Source organism: Homo sapiens, chromosome 20 (assembly GCF_000001405.40).
Source record: "Homo sapiens chromosome 20, GRCh38.p14 Primary Assembly".
Lineage (NCBI taxonomy): Eukaryota > Metazoa > Chordata > Mammalia > Primates > Hominidae > Homo > Homo sapiens.
In genome coordinates, this window is record NC_000020.11 from 19,940,222 (window position 1) to 19,957,907 (window position 17,686).

At 45.6% G+C, this 17,686-nt stretch overlaps 1 protein-coding gene across 20 annotated transcripts in view; it reads left to right on the forward strand.

Annotated features, from left to right (window-relative positions):
* The window catches only part of RIN2 (Ras and Rab interactor 2), a 244,858-nt gene that overhangs the window by 182,623 nt on the left and 44,549 nt on the right, over nucleotides 1-17,686 (forward strand). For all 20 annotated transcript variants that reach the window (XM_047440212.1, XM_047440213.1, XM_017027888.2 and 17 more), the window contains one exon: nucleotides 16,394-16,586. In XM_047440212.1, coding sequence (XP_047296168.1) covers nucleotides 16,394-16,586 — 193 coding nt within the window. The remainder of the gene's footprint in view (nucleotides 1-16,393; nucleotides 16,587-17,686) is intronic.

Sequence of the window (17,686 nt, forward strand, 5' to 3'; positions counted from 1 at the left end):
CACCCTGGGATTGCAGTGCCAGGGACAGTATCTGGCATAGAGCACGCACTCGCAAGTATTTGTTGAATGGATAAAGGAAAGGTGCCAAGCCCCTTAGTGATTTTAAAGTATTCTTGCCTCAGAGACCTCTTGCAGGTGGCCACCAACCGGTGCATAAAAAAATAAAAAGTTGAAAATGTGTGACAGGCCTAAGGCTTCCTCCCTAGCAAAGAAATAGGGCAGAGGCCCTTCCCCCAGTCTCCAGTTGTGCCTCCCTGACCAGTTCTACCATGAGCTATTTTAATCTTTGGCCAATAGAGTAGGAGCTGATTAAATCTCCCTCCATGCCTCTGCTGATCTACCAAATGGAAGCCCGTAAGCCAGGGGCGAGACTGAGGGCTTCTTGCTCCTGGTTTTCTGCTCTCTCCCAGTGTGGTTTCCTGCTTCCTCTCTTCCCACTGCATCCCTGCAAAGACTGGAGAGTATGGGAACATGAAGGCATTTCACTCCCCTCTCCCTCCCACATGATTCCACAGTCCATTTTCATTTGGCGGAAGCAGGCCTCTTTTGGGTAGGCTCACCAGGCCTGAGGTAGGTTCCACCCTCATCATCACTTGAACCCATCCCCTCTAGGCTGAGACAAGTCTCTAAAGATCACTTTATCCTCAGGCGGAACAGAGGGATCCACAGAACAACCTCCCCAGCTATTGTCTGGGCCCAGGCTGCCTCTGCAGGATCCCTGGCATCCTGGCTAGAGCAGGTCAGTGAGAACTGCAGCTCATCCCTTCCTCCACTCTCCTGTAGCTGTCACTCCTGCTGCCACTTCGCTGGTGTCCTCTAGCCCAAGTGGATTGCTGTGAGATGCCTGCGGTCCCATGTCTTCACTCCTCCTGCCCCACCACAGAACCAGACATGACACAGGAAATTCAAAAATTCCTTGGCCAGCTCTTCTCAATGTTACAATGTAGCAGCTGGTCATCACCTTTGGCCTCTTCTGGGAAGCTCTGAGCTTCCCAGTGGCTATGTGACAGCATTGACATTATAACCACAGGAAACCCAGAAGGCTCCTCCCTTGTACAATTGTTCACTTCTTCACTTGCCCAGAGGTGAGAACTGAAGATGAGAAGGGAAGAATGGTGGCCGCAGCCTGGGGAAAGATGCCCAGAGTTCCACTTCCTTAAGTCTCAAGAGGGACAGTTGTGACCACATTAGCGACTCTGTGGCTTTTTGAACCAGATCCACCTTCACTTGGTGCTGCTTTTTAAATAATTTTCCACTGAAGTAAAACATAACTCAGCAAAATTGCACAAATAAGTATCCAGCTAGATGAAAATCCACAGAGTAAACACATCACACATCGATGGCTTTGCTCACAAACCTGTTACTGCTACAGGGCAGGCCGTGTAGCAGCAACAGGTTTATGGTGAGACATTTTCCGGCTATGTCACTGAGGATTCTCTACTATGATTACTTTGATCAATTTACCCCCAATCCCCTAGAATATTTCCATATTTCAACTCAACCAGGAGTGTCCTGAACATGATTTCAATGAATTCTATGAGGGTTGACCAACTCTTCGCTACACTATCACCAATGTAGCAACAACTAAACTCAAATTAAAGAAAATATTTAAGCCGGGCAGGGTGACTCACACCTGTAATCCCAGCACTTTGGGAGGCTGAGGTGGGTGGATCACGAGGTCAGGAGTTTGAGACCAGCTTGGCCAACATGGTGAAACCCCCTCTCTAGTAAAAACACAAAAATTAGCCAGGCGCAGTGGCTCATGCCTGTAATCCCAGCTACTCAGGATGAGGCAAGAGAATTGCTTGAACCTGAAAGATGGAGGTTGTCATGAGCCGAGATCAAGCCACTGCACTCCAGCATGGGTGACAGAGTGAGACTCTATCTCAAAAAAAAAAAAAGAAAGAGAAAGTATTTATTCAGTGGATCATATTTACCAAAATACCATGAGAGTGGAGCCTGAAGATTTACACAACCTAAGGAGGGAAAAAATTGTAAACAAGTGAGTATCATGTAACGAAATGGGACATAATAGAATACGTCAGATGAACAGAGGAGGACAGCAGATGTCCCAAGAACCTCAGGTGGGAAGCAGGTAATTCTAGGTCAGAGGTACATCAATTTCATTAACGAATAAGAAGTGTAAGATAAAAAATGCCCTAAAGAGCTGTTCAGTCTATCTTGACTGGTGATATCTGTTATCTTTGGGAAGTTTTTTAAAAGAAACATTTAAGATTTCTTTTTTTGATAGCCAAAAGTAAAACGTGTACATGGTGGAAAAAGCACAATGCAGAAAATAAAAATAAACAACACCCTGACCCCGACCCCACCCCCACTCCAAGATAGAATCATTTTTGATTGTTTGTTGGGTTGGCTGATTTAATTCTTTGCTTTGATGTGTATCCTTCTGATGTTTTTGCATGACAATCCATTTAAATGGTAGATCATGCATGATTTTTCACTGACCTACAAGGTGTTTTTGATCATCCTAGAAATGCAGTTTCCTAGAAATTGATTCTGTTTTTGTTGACGGGTAGCACCTTCCAATGTAGTGGCTAGCTTATCTGTTTACAGTAAACCTTGGCCACACAATGTCACCAGCAGCATACTCCAGAGTTGGAGCTATTTTGACCTTGGCCACACAATGTCACCAGCAGCATACTCCAGAATTGGAGCTATTTTGTGCTCTGTAGGCTTTGCATTGCTGCTATATTGGCAATTGGTTCTGCCATAAAATATCTGCTTAGTTAGAATTCATCTGCTAGGAAATAACACCAGTGTAACCCAGAGCAATTAAATACTAGAAACTGCCAATCCATGGAACACTTGCCTTTCCGTGAAGCAGGGTGCATGCCCCGGGCTTGAAGGGCATCGGGACCAAGACTGGAGCCCGCCTGGCTCCTTCTTCTGCCTGTTTTCAGCTCCAAGGGCAACCAGGACAACAGGTTCTTTGTTCCTCTTTCTTATTTTTACAGGAACAAATGAAAGCCTCTGCCAGCATTCGCTCTGTATCTGGCCTTCTCATCTCTAGCTGGAGAGTCAACCAGAGGAAGTTCCTGGGCAAAACAGCTACCACTTTTTCTTACCTCCCGAAATGGCAGCGTCTCCCTGGAGGCAGACATGAGCTTTTGTTCCCATTTCTGTGTCCTCTTCTGCTGGGCCTCAGTTGATAGAACTTAAAAATTACCAAAGGCCCTAAAGGTTTTTCAGAATAGTCCTACTGTGACATGCTCTTACAAATCTTTTTTGAGGAAGTTGGGGCTCCACCCTCAAAAAGCAGCAGCCCTTCGCCATGGAGGAATAAAATCTGTAACCCCAAATATGCTAGTGATTCTTTTTCCTTTTAGAGTTTAATGGGACAAAAAAAGGCCTTGAGGAATTAAGTATGAACTTGCTTGCTCTAGGGAAACTCCCTAAGTCGGAAAACTGGACCTAGGACCAGTTTTATCAATTTCTAGCATTTTGATCTCAAATAAGGAGATAAACTGGATGGCCTCTGATAGCCCTTAAAACTTGGCTAAATATGCAGGGGTCCTTCTAAGACAATCCATTTCCCCATGCCTCTCTGCCCACCACTCTTCCCATGCTGGGTGGTGGGTAAAAGGTTTCTTCTGCTCACCTGGCAATTTCCATGCTGTCAACTGTGTTAGCCAGGCCAGGGTCCTGCCGTGTCCAGAATAATGGATTGGGGTTTCCCTTCTTCTCCAGACTAATAGAATATTACAGAGACATGTTTAATTCCATTTCAATATCCTTTTTTTTTTTTTTTTTTTTTTTTTTTACCTATAACTAGACTCAAGTTCTGAACTTCAAAATTCTAAAGAAATATTTTTATGTCTGAAGGTGTTAAGAAATCATTGGATATCAACTTCTATGTATTTTTGAAGTTGAAGTTTTTCTGGGAATTTTTTGTTTGCTCTGTGTGTGTGTATGTCTTTAACACAAATTGGAATTTGTCCTGTGCCAAAGATTTTTAGTTGATAGATATCTTCAGTATGGGCCATTATTTTCTGTCTCTCTACATAAGGGGCCTCTGGTACTAATATTCTTCCACAAGTTGTTGATCCCAGACCCACCACCTCTCTTCTCCCAACCCCGCTAAGTCCTGGCTTCATCTCCCACCTATCCAGGCATCTTGGCTGCAGCTTGGCATTTGAGGTGTATATTTGTGTTCCTTTTGATACATGGTCAAGGATCTACTGCCCCAAGATCAGGACCATGGTGGGCACAAGACTCTTGACTTCTGTCTCATCCTTGATTCATAAGATGACCCCTGCATTGGCCTCTTGTAGCTAGAAGCCTGGGCCCTCCGGCAATGCCACATCCCAGGGTGTATCTTTCTTGCCATTGCAGCTGGTTAAGACAACAGCCTGGAAAAAGATTTTAGTCTGGCATGCAGCTGAAGGGAAGCTCCTGGAGAAGCATGATATACATGGAAATTTTAACACAAAAATATCAAGAGAAGTGGCTTTTTTTTTTCTTTTTCCATCTGAAAGTTGAGGATGGCAATACCAGAGTCCAGGTTGAGCCTAGACACTAATGGTAGATGGAGAACTCTCCTGCTTCCAGGACCTGCTGGAAGCTGGCCTGTAGAAGCTTTGGGGTTTTGCTTTCTCCCAGGTCACATGAAATGCTGCCAAAACAAGCTCCAGAGTTGTGTTAATACCACAGGATTTGTCAGTCCTAGAATGGAAACACATTGCCTTGCTTTCTTTTTGTGACTATCCAAAAATTAGAAGACGGTAAGAAGTCATCCTGAAAACTCCCATGGAGCGGAACCATTACTCATAGTTTCAAAGACAGTCCAGGCACTTAGAATCAGAAGTTCTTTTCAGGTTCTGTTTATTTGTTTTGCTAACAGATTCCTTTTTTCAGCAAGAATCCATTTTTAGACACAGGGAAACTGAGATTAAACAGTGCATGGTAATGGGTGCAGGCCTCACAGTGATGAAGGGGCAGTGCTGAGGCTCTGATTCAAGTCTGACTTGGAGTCCTCTTTCCACCTAACCGCTGAAGATTAGGAGGCTGAGGGAGACTAGAATCAGGGTTGATTCCATTGAAACTATGACATGCCTTACCAAAAATAGCATTGTGATTTCAGTGCACTCACATGGGCAGGAGGTGGGTGGCTTTGATTCCGGATAAATTGATGACTGAATGTGAAAGCCCCTGAAGCTGTGTGTGGGGTTCCCACTGGGGTTTCTTCAGACCTCATGCACTGCACCTGCCTTTATCCAAGAGCACTTTCCTGCCAGGACTGTCTACCCTCTACTTTCTCCTGCACTCAGCAGGCCACTTTTGTTGGAATCCTAAATCTCATTCTCCGTGCTGGAATAAAGCATTCTGTATTTGGAGACCTTGGATGGAGCACTGGTCTCCAATGTCTGGTATTGGTGGGCATAGAATTATTGTAATTCTACACTAAAGCTCATCACTGACTTTTCTTTTTATCTTTCTTATCATTTTTTTTTTCACTATGTAGACTGCAGGAACATCATTGACTTTTACAACCAAAGCCACTCAAAGCCCACTCCTTGCTAGTTGACTTGAGCTTAGAAGGGGTGTCCATGGGAGAAATTAATGAGCAATAAGGAAGGATTTGTTTTTCTGGAAGGATTGGAGCTGCCTCCTTTTCTTGCCCCAGAGATGGCCAAAGGCCAGGTGGCTCTTGGTAGCTGTGGTGATTTTTGCCGCCCATTTCCTGATAAGCACAGAAACAAGAACGCTTTGTCTCCTGAGGCTGGAGCTGAGCAGCGGATTCTATTTGTTAGGGGGCCTCAGAAAGAAACTGCCCAGTGCCCCTAAGAATATTTCTCCCTGCCCGCTAAGCTCCTCCTCTTCCGTAAACCTTGCTGTCTGCAGATCACCTCCTCCTCAGGCCCCTGGTCATGCCTAAAGCAGACCTTTTATTAATTCCTGCACAGGGCTAGGCCTGAATATGGGCTGGGGATGAGGCCAGGCTAGTAAGGGAGAGAAGTCTGACCAGAGTGGAATGGGGTAGGGGCCCTGGAGGTGTGGGGACAGTAGGGAAGGAATGTGATGGGCCACAGATTACTTGCAGCTGAAAGAGATAAGGGATGAGGATTTGAACCCAGTTTGACAGGTAGGTAGGTAGGAGCCAGATATGGCAGGAGACATTCCAAGTAGCTTGAACTCAGTAATGAGGAAGCTGAGCAACAGCATGTAGATGTATCTACAGGATGATCTTCCCAGGCCGGCGCCGGGGTTCACACCTGGAATCCCAGCACCACTTTGAGAGGCCAAGGTGGGAGGATTGATTGAGACCAGGAGTTCGAGACCAGCATGGCCAACATGGCGAAACCCCGTCTCTACTAAAAATGCACATATTAGTCTGGCATGGTGGCGCTTGCCTAGCTGCTCGGGAGGTTGAGGCACAAGAATTGTCTGAACCTGGGAGACAGAGGTTGCAGTAAGCCGAGATTGTGTCACCACTGCACTCCAGCCCTGGGTGACAGAGCAAGATTCTATCTCAAAAAAAAAAAAAAAAAAAAGGGAAAAGCAAATTCAGCTGGGTGCGGTGGCTCACACCTATAATCCCAGCACTTTGGGAGGCCGAGGTGGGTGGATCACCTGATGTCAGGAGTTCGAGACCAGCCTGGCCAACATAGCAAAACTCTGTCTCTACTAAAAATACAAAAATTAGCTGGACGTGGTGGCGCACGCCTAAAGTCCCAGCTACTCAGGAGGCTGAGGCGGGAGAATTGCTCGAACCCAGGAGGTGGAGGTTGCAGTGAGCCGAGATCGTACCACTGCACTCCAGCCTGGGTGTCAGACTGTCTTAAAAAAAAAAAAAAAAAGCAAATTCAGTATCTTTACCATAATTAGGAAACACACTGAATACATATAACCATTAAAATAAGTAATGGCCATTAAAATTAAAACCATGCCTCCATGGATTACCTTGATGTATCCATCACTTTTTGGGAAACATTGTCAGTTTCTAACAACATTGAGATATTACAAAATATCAAAATTGGGCTAGGCATGGTGGCTTGTGCCTGTAGCCCCAGCTACTCAGGAAGCTGAGGCTGAGGCAGGAGGATCACTTAAGGCCAGGAGTTTGAGACCAGCCTGGGAAACACAGCAAGACCCCATCTCTAAAAAAGTATTTTTTAAAATTAAAAATTTAAATATCAAAATTAACCTACACTTTTCCACCATTAGAGCTTTATTTTGTTTTTGAGTTTTCCACTTAGTAGCAAAACTACAGTTCTTTATGTTTGGGAGACAAACAAGGTAATGAATCTTAAACCATAATTTAGTCAGAGTCAAAAGTAATATGGAACCTGAGTTCTGCTTTTGTTGTTGTTTTTGTTTATTGATAAGAACTTATCACATGATAATTAGCCCATTGTCTTCATTCTGTAACCACTTATTAAACACTTACCATGTAAACAATGAGAAACTTTGTTTTCATAAAAGTCTAGGAGATTCCCGGAAACCTTCAGGGAACGAGCCCTCAGGCTTCAAGAAAAGCCAGGATTTTTCGTAAAGACTGTTTTCAGGGAGTGCCTGGCCAGAAAGGTGAGACTTGCAAGGAGAGACATGGGCGGAGCCTGCCGCTCACTCCTTCAAATCCCAGGTCTGGGGCAGTCCTTGTAGATTCCACCAGGATTGGCCTGGGAAAGCCGGCAAAGCAAGCAGGTGTTGCTCTTCCAAGAGGAGAGTTCTCCATACCTTGTGGAGCCTGACATGGGAGAGAAAGTCCTGTCTAGGGCCAGGGTTTGGGGAACTGAGATACAAGCCGAAAGCCAAGCTGCTTTTGAGAAACTGTGATAATCCTTCCTCCAACTAACTGCTGACCCAGTCATCCCAGTGTCTCCAGATGACTCATGTAAGTAGAAGCAAACAGGGTACCTTGATAAAACACAAGGGTAGACCACAGATGGTTCCAGCTCCAAGGCAGATGTGATACTGACAGTGCTGAGACACAGCTGCTCGCACAGACACACGGAAGGGAGCCAGAGAACTATGGAACTTCCCCTAGGAAAGCATCATTTGACTTACGGGCCACAACCACCTTATTTATCTCCATAGGGGACTTGCCATTCATTCTATGAGGGGTTTTCAGATATTGTTAATTAACTAAACCAATCCCATCCTAGCTGAATTATGATCTAACAGTCTGCTATAGACTGGAAAAAAATATATACATATACATATTTTTTTGGAGACGCAGTATCCATCTGTCTCCCAGGCTGGAGTGCAGTGGCGTGATCTCGGCTTACTGCAACCTCCGCCTCCCAGGTTCAAGCCATTCTCATGCCTCAGCCTCCCGAGTAGCTGGGACTACAGGAGCGCGCCACCACACCCAGTTAATTTTTGTACTTTTAGTAAAGACAGGGTTTCACCATGTTGGCCAGGCTGGTGGAAAAATCATAGTACATTTTAAATATTTGTTTGAAATCACTTTTGTTCTTAAAAAAAATCAGGCACATCTTACCATAGATGATATTAAATTGTCCATTTAAAAACTCCAGTTTCTCGGGAACACTCCCCAAGGCAACTTGGAAGTATGCCCCAGACAAAAGTGATTGTCTTGAATGATTTTAATTTTAATTTTATTTATTTATTTATTGAGACAAGGTCTCACTCTGTTGCCCAGGCTCGAATGTAGTGGCATGATCACAGCTCACTGCAGCCTCAACCTCCTAGGCTCAAGCAATCCACCTCCTTCTGCCTCCGAAAATGCTGGGATTATAGGTACAGGCCACTGCACCAGGCCGTAATTTTACTTTAAAAAAAAAAAAATCTAGGCTGTACACCGTGGCTCACGCCTGTAATCCCAGCACTTTGGGAGGCCAAGGCGGGGGATTGCCTGAGTTCAGGAGTTCCAGACCAGCCTGGACAACGTGGTGAAACCTCGTCTCTACTAAAAAAAATACAAACATTAGCTGGGCATGGTGGTGTGTGCCTGTAATCCCAGCTACTTAGGAAGCTGAGGCAGGAGAATCGCTTGAGCCTGGGAGGCAGAGGTTGCAGTGAGCCAAGACTGCACCATTGCACTTCAGCCTGGGTGACAGAGCCAGACTCCGTCTCAAAATAAATAAATAAAAATCTAATTGCTCGGCTTAGTGAAGGTGTGGTTTTACACACATAGAGGAGGTTTAGGGGGCTTTTTGTTTTACTTGTTTATCCTCATGTCCTGCCACTGAGGGCAGAGCCACACAGGGCACAGCACACCTGCTGCCACCCACAGCCTAATGGATGTGCACCATCCTTGGTTGACAGAGTAAGAATTTGTCATTTTGCCTTGAACTTTATTTTTGCTATTTAACAGCCAAACTAGGTTTCTTATATCTAGAAAGTTGTTCACTTTATTTACTCAGTCAGTAAGTTTTGTCACAGAAATGGCCTCGCATCACATTTCTGTGTATTTTTGCCTTATTGTCTCTCATTTGCAAGGTCAAAGTGTACATTTCAGATGTATGGTTGGGGATGCAGCTCGCGGGAGCGGGTGATGTAGGGGGAGGTGCAAGGGAGGCTTCATAGCATGCTTTGTCTAGACCCTGGTCACTAGGACTGGTCATTAGGGGCTGCGCTGGTAGACTGTAATGTCTTCTGGAATTCTGAATTAGGACAAGAAAAGGCATGCATCGTTTGGAAGTTCTGCTCTGTGTCGATGGTTTCTCTGAGGTGAATCTGATTCTGGCAATGTTAGTAAAACTAACCCTTGTCTGCCTGGTTGTCCTACTCAGAAAGAGCTTTCTGCAATCACTTACTCTCCCACCTGCTCAGGCGACTAATGTTGGGCCATGGGAAGGAAGGAAATCCAGCCCAGTGGAAAGGCTTCTCTCATCCCATACTCCAAAGAACCTTAACCTGGTTGTCACGAGAGCAGGACAGGTGCTGGAGAGCCCTGCCCTTCCAAAGTGGATGGAATATCCACCCATCTGCTTCAAAGCCATGAGGCCCAGGTTTGGTTGTAATTGGAATGGGTGGAGGCTGTGACTTTTGGGTGAGTGTTTGTTCTCTGCCCCTAGAGGCACCTTATACTTTGCGGGCCATTCTATGGTTTGCCCATTGTATTCACATGTGGGTCTCACTGTATCTGTACCTAAGTTTTATCTCCCCATGATAGCAGCCCTAGACACCTAGACATAGTGGGAATGGCTGCACAAATAAATGAGTTTTATAGTTATAAAAACTCAGTGAGATGGTAGATATTATTACTTCTCCTCCAACCTATTATTTTGAGAAATTTCAAACATTATGGAAAAGTTGCAAAGATAGCACTGTTCAGTTAATTCACTAAGTGCTGAAATTTTGCTACATTTTCTTTATCTCCCTATTTTTTTTCTTTTTAGGGGGAGCTCATCATTTGACACTTTCTTTCTTTCTTTCTTTTGACACTTTCAAACATGTTTATACTTTGCCCTTAAATTTTTCAGTATGCATGTCCTAAGAATAAAAGCATTTTTCCTTTGTAAGCATAATAAAATTATCACACTTAAGGAAATTCTCCATTTTATTTTATTTTATTTTTGAGACAGGGTCTTGCTCTGTCACCCAGGCTGGAGTGCAATGGTGCAGTCTGGCTCACTGCAACCTCCACTTCTCGGGTTCAAACAGTTCTCCTGCCTTAGCCTCCTGAGCAGCTGTGGCTAGAACTGTAGGCACACCCCACTGTGCCTGGCTAACCTTTTTTTTTTTTTTTCTTTTTTTGGGACAGAGTCTAACTCTGTCACCCCCGCTGAAGTGCAGTGGTGCCATCTCAGCTCACTGCAACCTCCACCTCCCAAGCTCAAGCAATCCTCCCGCCTCAGACTCTTGAGTAGCTGGGACCAGAGGAACGCTCCATCATGCCTGGCTAATTCTTTTCTGTATATTTTGTAGAGACTGGGTTTTGCCATGTTGCCCGGGCTGGCCTCAAACTCCTGAGGTCAAGCGATCCATACACCTTGCCCTCCCAAAGTGCTGGGATTACAGGTGAAATTGTCCTTTATAGATCTTTTTATACTGATGCCATATATGAGTTCCAGGCTATGCACTCCATGTAGTTACCACATCTCTTTATTCACCTCGAACCTGTATTAATCCTACAGCCTGTTAAAATTCATAACATTGACATTTTTGAAGTTTTGGCCATTGGTTTTGCTGTCACTGAAATTTGGATTTTTCTGATTGTTTTCTCCTGTATACATTCAGGTGAGTCATATTTGGGAGCAGGAAAGACACCTAGGTGACATGGTACCTTCTCAGAGCCTCACACTGGGGGCACTTGATGTCAGGGCAGCTCATTTTTGGAGGAGTTAACACAGATCACTTGGTTAAGGTGACATCTACCAGTTTCCTCCATTGCCAGGGTACCTTTTCATTTTCACAAGTCATTAAGTGATCTGTGAGGTGATATTTTAAGACTATGACTATCCTATTTCCTAAGTCTTTTGCCTTCTGATTTTAGCATCCACTCAATTTTTGCTTGCATTGATTACTACCTGGTGGTGAAGGTATTGTTATTTACTATTTTCAGATCAAAAGGGCGAGGCTCAGAAAGGGACCTGAGCAAGGTCTCACATGCCCAGCTGAGCTAGGAGAGGAACCTCATGCTTCCTGCCCTGAGCTTGGCTCTGTGGCCATTCCACTATGACCATGTTTTTATTGGAATCTCCTGGATTGTATCACAGTGTTTTACCTTTTATGAACCTCTGTTCACTGCCTTCCCTCCTGTTTGCATGCAGACACCTTTCTTAGAAATCGCTAGTTTCTATGAATCTCATCAAGTTCTGTCATAGGTTGAGTTCCCTGGAAGGAGAGCCTGATTTGGGGCTTCTTGTGCAAGTGATTCAGAAGCAGCCTGCCAAGGAGTGAGGGATCCAGGATGGGAAAGGGAGGAGGCAAGGCAAAGACGTGGGCTCTGCCTGGTCCCACAGGGAGCTCAGCAGCGTGAATAGCCCCCCAGAGTTGTCTCAACTCAAGGCTAGAAGGCCACTCTTCTCCATCTCACATATGTAGAAAGTACATATCAGTATGTCACTGGCAGTGAGTCTGCTCTCAGGGAGAGGATGTAGCTTCCTGGGCATTTCCAGGAGAAGAGGGGCAGCTGTGAGCTTTCCACAGCCAACACTCGCAGCAGATGGGGCATGGGTGCCTGCCCTAGAGGAGGGGCTCTAGGTGGAGCACCAGTAGCATCCCCTACATGTTCAATGTTCTCACATTAGTTTTTTCCTGAAGGTTGTTCCTGATAAAAGCCAATTTGTCCTGTAATAATATGCTATAAACCTCAAGTGGCTGGCTGAATCAAGGTGTCAGCTTAGTCATTTGCAAAGGCAAGGGATAATTATGGTTGCTGTTTTATAAGGCCCCATGAATCTTATTCACCATCTTCCTGTCTGGGCCCTGCTTTTTAGGCTGAGGTCACTTGTCAGAACAAAGGCTTTTCAGCTCCTTGAAACCACAGAGGAGTCACAGGATGCGCCCTTCTAGGGAAGGAAGATATGTCAACGTGTTTACTTTCAGCACACATGAGCATCACGATTGTCATGTTAGACACTGTCCAATTTGGTCTTGGCAAAATATGGCCAACCTGAGATGGCAGTGATAAAATATTTATTTAGTCGCCAAGAATTCTTTTAGTGGCATGGTACCCATCCCGCGCCCGCAGCCCCTAGCAAAACAAAACCAAACCCCTAATTGATCTGAGTTAATATGCATGTTTTACACTTGGATCTCAGGCAAATGTTCCTTACAGTGTTGTCCTCAGATTGGTCACTGAGAGCTTGTTAGAAATGCAATGTCTCTGGCTCACCCCACACCTGCAGAAGCTGTGAGTCTGAAACCAGGAATCTGTGGCTTAACAAACCCCAGGTGACTTTCACGCAGGCTCTCAAGTTTGACAAATACTGATCCAAAGTAGTGGTTGTAAACTTGGTTGCACGTTGGGATCCCCTGGGGAATTTTTTTTTCTTTTTTTGGAGACGGAGTCTTGCTCTGTTGCCCAGGCTACAGTACAGTGGAAGGATCTCGGCTCACTGCAACCTCCACCTCCCATGTTCAAGGCTGCCTCAGCCTCCTGAGTAGCTGGGACTACAGGTGTGTGCCACCATGCCCAGCTAATTATGGTATTTTTAGCAGAGACAGGGTTTCACCATGTTGACCAGGCTGGTCTTGAACTCCTGACTTCCAGTGATCCAACCGCCTCAGCATCCCAAAGTGTGCTGGGATTACAGGCGTGAGCCACTGCACCTGGCTTTTCTTTTCTTTTCTTTTCTTTTTGAGACAGGGTCTTGCTCTGTTGCCCAGCCTGGAGTGCAGTGGCACGATCTCCACTCACTGCAACCTCCGCCTCCCCAAGTTCAAGCAATTCTCCCGCCCTAGCCTCCTGAGTAGCTGGGACTACAGGCACCCACCACCACTCCTAGCTACTTTTTGTATTTTAGTAGAGACAGGGATTCACCATGTTGGCCAGGCTGATCTTGAACTCCTGGTCTCAGATGATCTGCCTCCCAAAGTGCTGGGATTACAGGCTTTAGCCACCATGCCTGGCTTTTTTAGGTGATTTTTATCAGCAGCCAGGGTTGAGAATCACTTGTCTAAAGCTGGCTCTTTTACCTTCTATGAAAGGAATTTTAACACCAGCTTCACTTTGAAGAGTATGTTTTTTTAACTGCAAATATTCACTTCCCAATACCTGCAGGCCCTGGAATGGCATTTGCAGAAGGAGAAACTATTCTTTTTGGCACAGAGTCTCCTACCTGGAAATTTGTAGCAGAAGTTGAGCAAAGCTTTCACATATTTGAGAAGAAATAAAAAGATAAATCTTGAATGAATGAGTGAGATTCCTTAGGCCTGCAGAAAGTCACGAAGGTGATGGAGAGAAGTTAGGACGGGGGTCTCTGGCCAGTCCACATGCCAACACTGGGTATTATTATTGAGTCTGCACACCCAAAAATGATCGGCATAGGTTGGCTTCTTCTAAATTCAGTCCCACCTCTTAGGAGTAGAGTTGTCCATGTGGAAATATCACACTTCCTTCCTTTAATTTCCTTTTTATAACTCATCATACATTCAGTTTCATTATCCATCCTTCTCAGTGCTAAATACATTATCTAGTTCACACAGTTGAGTTCCTTTGGGTTTAGAGGATTGAAGACCATATGTACCCGAATCTAAACCTGCTTGTTTGGACATGAATGGTCAGGTCTGGTGTCCCTTGGCTGCCCCAGGATAGGGCTTGATGACCTGCTCCTTGAGAGCCAGGTTAAGTGTCAGTTCTGAGTTTGGTAAAGGGTGAGAGAACCCAGAGCGAAGCTGCCTTGGATGGAAATGTCAGCCCCCTCTCTCTGACCAGGGGCTTGACCTTGAGCAAGATCCTGACCTGAGCTAAGACTCCTGGTCCTCTCTGTAAAACCGGGATCATGGTGCCTGTGGTCCAGGGCTGCCAAGAGGAGTAAATGAGAGAATGTAGGTAAAGGGCTTGGCACACAACAGCCGCTACATGGATACAAACTGCCCTGTGCCCCTCACCCCTGTGTCCCTCACCCCTGTGCCCCTCACCCCTGTGTCCCTGACCTGACTTGGTACCCACAACATTGGATAAATACCAGAGCATGTGTAATTTCTAGTTCTGCTGTTTCAAGGCTGTTATCACTCAGGACAGCTCAGTAACTTCTTAGGCCTCGGTCTTCTCATTGGTAAAATGGGAATTAAACACTCACTGACAGAACCAGTATTGGCACCAAAAGGATGTCAATATGGTTTGGTCATTAAGACGTAATTCACATACCATAAAATTCACCCTTTTAATGTGCATGATTCGCGGGTTTTAGTACCTTCACACATTGTGCAATTATCACCACTCTCTAATACCAGAACATTTCCATCACCCTGGAAAGAAACCTGGTACCTGTTTGCAATCGCTCCCCATTCTCTTTTCTCTCCCCCATTCTCTGGAGCCCACTGATCTACTTTGTGTCTCTGTAGATTTGCTTGTTCTGGATATTTCATGTAAATCGAGTCATTCAGTATGTGGCCTTATGTCTGGCTTCTGTCACTGAACAAGATGCTTTCCAAGTATATCCATGTTGCAGCATGCGTCAGTGCCCCATTCCTTTTTATGGCTGAATAATATTCCATTGTAAGAATAGATTACTCTTTTTTTTTTCTTTTTTTGAGACAGGGCCTCACTCCTGTTGTCCAGGCTGGAGTGCAGTGGTGGGATCATGGCTTACTGCAGCCTTAAACTCCCAGGCTAGAGCCATCCTCCCACCTCAGCCTCCTGAGTAGCTGGGACTACAGGTGCGCATGACCACACCTGGCTAATTTTTGCATTTTTAGTAGAAATGGAATTTCGTCAGGTTCCACGGGCTGGCTTCAAACTCCTGGGTTCAAGTGATCTGCCTGCCTCAACCTCCCAAAGTGCTGGGATTATAGGCGTGAGCCACCACACTTGGCCACATTTTGTTCATCCACTCATCAGCTGACAGACATTTGGGTTGTTTCCGCTTGTTAGCTATTATGAGTAATGTCGACATGATTTTACGAATAGCACAGCATCACTCCTCTGTGAGGTTTTATTATAAATAATGTCAGTAATAAAAATGCTTAGATTTGTGAGAAGAAATAAAATCCAATCATTCAGGTACAAAATAAATCTGTGTGAGTGCATTTGCCTTTAGACTGGGGCATGGTTGTGCTTATGAGAAATGCTACTGAGCATTAGGAACTCACGGTTACCATCCATGCTATTTCGCATTTAGGGTTCTGTCCTCAAAGTTAGAAATGTTTTATATTGGCCAGGCAGGGTGGCTTATGCCTGTAATCCCAGCACTTTGGAATGCCGAGGTAGGCGGATCACCTGAGGTCAAGAGTTCAAGACCAGCCTGGCCAACATGGCGACACCCTATCTCTATTAAAAATACAAAAATTTAGCCGGGCATTGTGGTGTGCGCCTATAATCCCAGCTACTCAGGAGACTGAGGCAGGAGAATCACTTGAACCCAGGAGACGGAGGTTGCAGTGAGCCCAGATCGCGCCACTGCACTCCAGCCTGGGCAACAGAATAAGACTCCATCTCAAAAAAAAAAAAAAAAAAAAGAAAAGAAAAAGAAAAAAAGAAATGTTTTATGTCGGAAGACAAAGCCTGAATAAATGGCATTTAGGATGCTTAGAACTTTTGAAAATGGGGTTAGGAATAGAAGGTCAGGTCTGCCCAGTGCAAAGTGTTCTTTTTAATATTAGAGATAGAGGGTAAAATAAAACATTGTGTCTGCCCTCAGAAAGCTTTCAGTCTGGAAGAGAAGATGATTAAGGGGGCGATCACAAGATGGGGTATGTGCGGTGGCAAGCCTGGCCTATGAACTTGTAGGGACGGTCTCCTTGTTAGGGAAATGGTACTGCAGCCAGCTGACCGTGCCGCTTCTCTTTCTCCTAGCATGGTAAGACACAAGGATGGTGGCTATTCCGAGGAAGAGGACGTGAAGACCTGTGCCCGGGACTCAGGCTATGACAGCCTCTCCAACAGGCTCAGCATCTTGGACCGGCTCCTCCACACCCACCCCATATGGCTGCAGCTGAGTCTGAGTGAGGAGGAGGCAGCAGAGGTCCTGCAGGCCCAGCCTCCGGGGGTAAGACTCAGAACCTCGGGAAGCAGGTTGAAGCAGGCAGGACTGCTGCCGGCTTAAAGAAAAACACTTGGAGTTAGTTCCAGAAATTTCTTCCTAGCTTGTAAGGAGCATGTCTCTTGATGTGTAACTGGTTTTCAATGCAGAAATATTCTGTAAACCCAGGAACAGAGCCCTTCACGATGTGTCTTTCTGTCTTTATCTGCTCAGTTACCATGGGAGGTACAAGGATCCAGCAGAGAACTGAGCATCTGGGTAGCGAGTAGGGGCCACTGGCCAGAAGCCTGGGTCTGACCTCTTGAGCCTGGACACTGAGGATGAGCCTGGGTCTGAGATCCTTGGTGGCCTCTGCTACCTTCCTCTCCTTCTGAGCCTGGGAGCCCTGCCAAGGTCCAGCCATCCAACTTGGGACCCAGCCTTCAAAAGTTCTGTGTCCACAGACTTGCCTGCTCTGTAGTCCTCTTTTCCCTGGGCTTTCCACACAGACTAAAGTCTAATATGGTTTCCTCAGCTACTGTCTATCCAAGACCACTGTCCGTCCCATCCAGACCACTCCACGACTTGTGGAAGGTCCTCAAAAAAGTGACTGGAGCCGGGCACGGTGGCTCACGCCTGTAATCCCAGCACTTTGGGAGGCCAAGACGGACAGATCACTTGAGGCCAGGATTTCTAGACCAGCCTGGGCAACACAGTGGCACCCTATCTCTACTAAAATTACAAAAATTAGCCCGGTGTGGTGGCACACGCCTGTAATCCCAGCTACTCAGGAGGCTGAGGCAGGAGAATCACTTGAACACAGGAAGTGGAGGTTGCCATGAGCAGAGATTGTGCCACTGCACTCCAGTCTGGGCGACAGAGCAAGAATCTGTCCCCCCCAAAAAAAAAAAGTGATTGGTATCTCTAGTGCTATCCAATATGGTAGCTTCTTGCCCCATGTGGCTGTTTAAATTTACATGAATTAAAGCAAATAAAATTAGAAATTCAGCTCCTCAGTTACCGTAGCCACATTTTAAGTGCTCTCTGGCCTCGGCTGGCTGCCATATTAGATGGTGCAAAATTTGGAACATTGTCATTGTAGTACAAAGTTATAGTGGACGGCATTT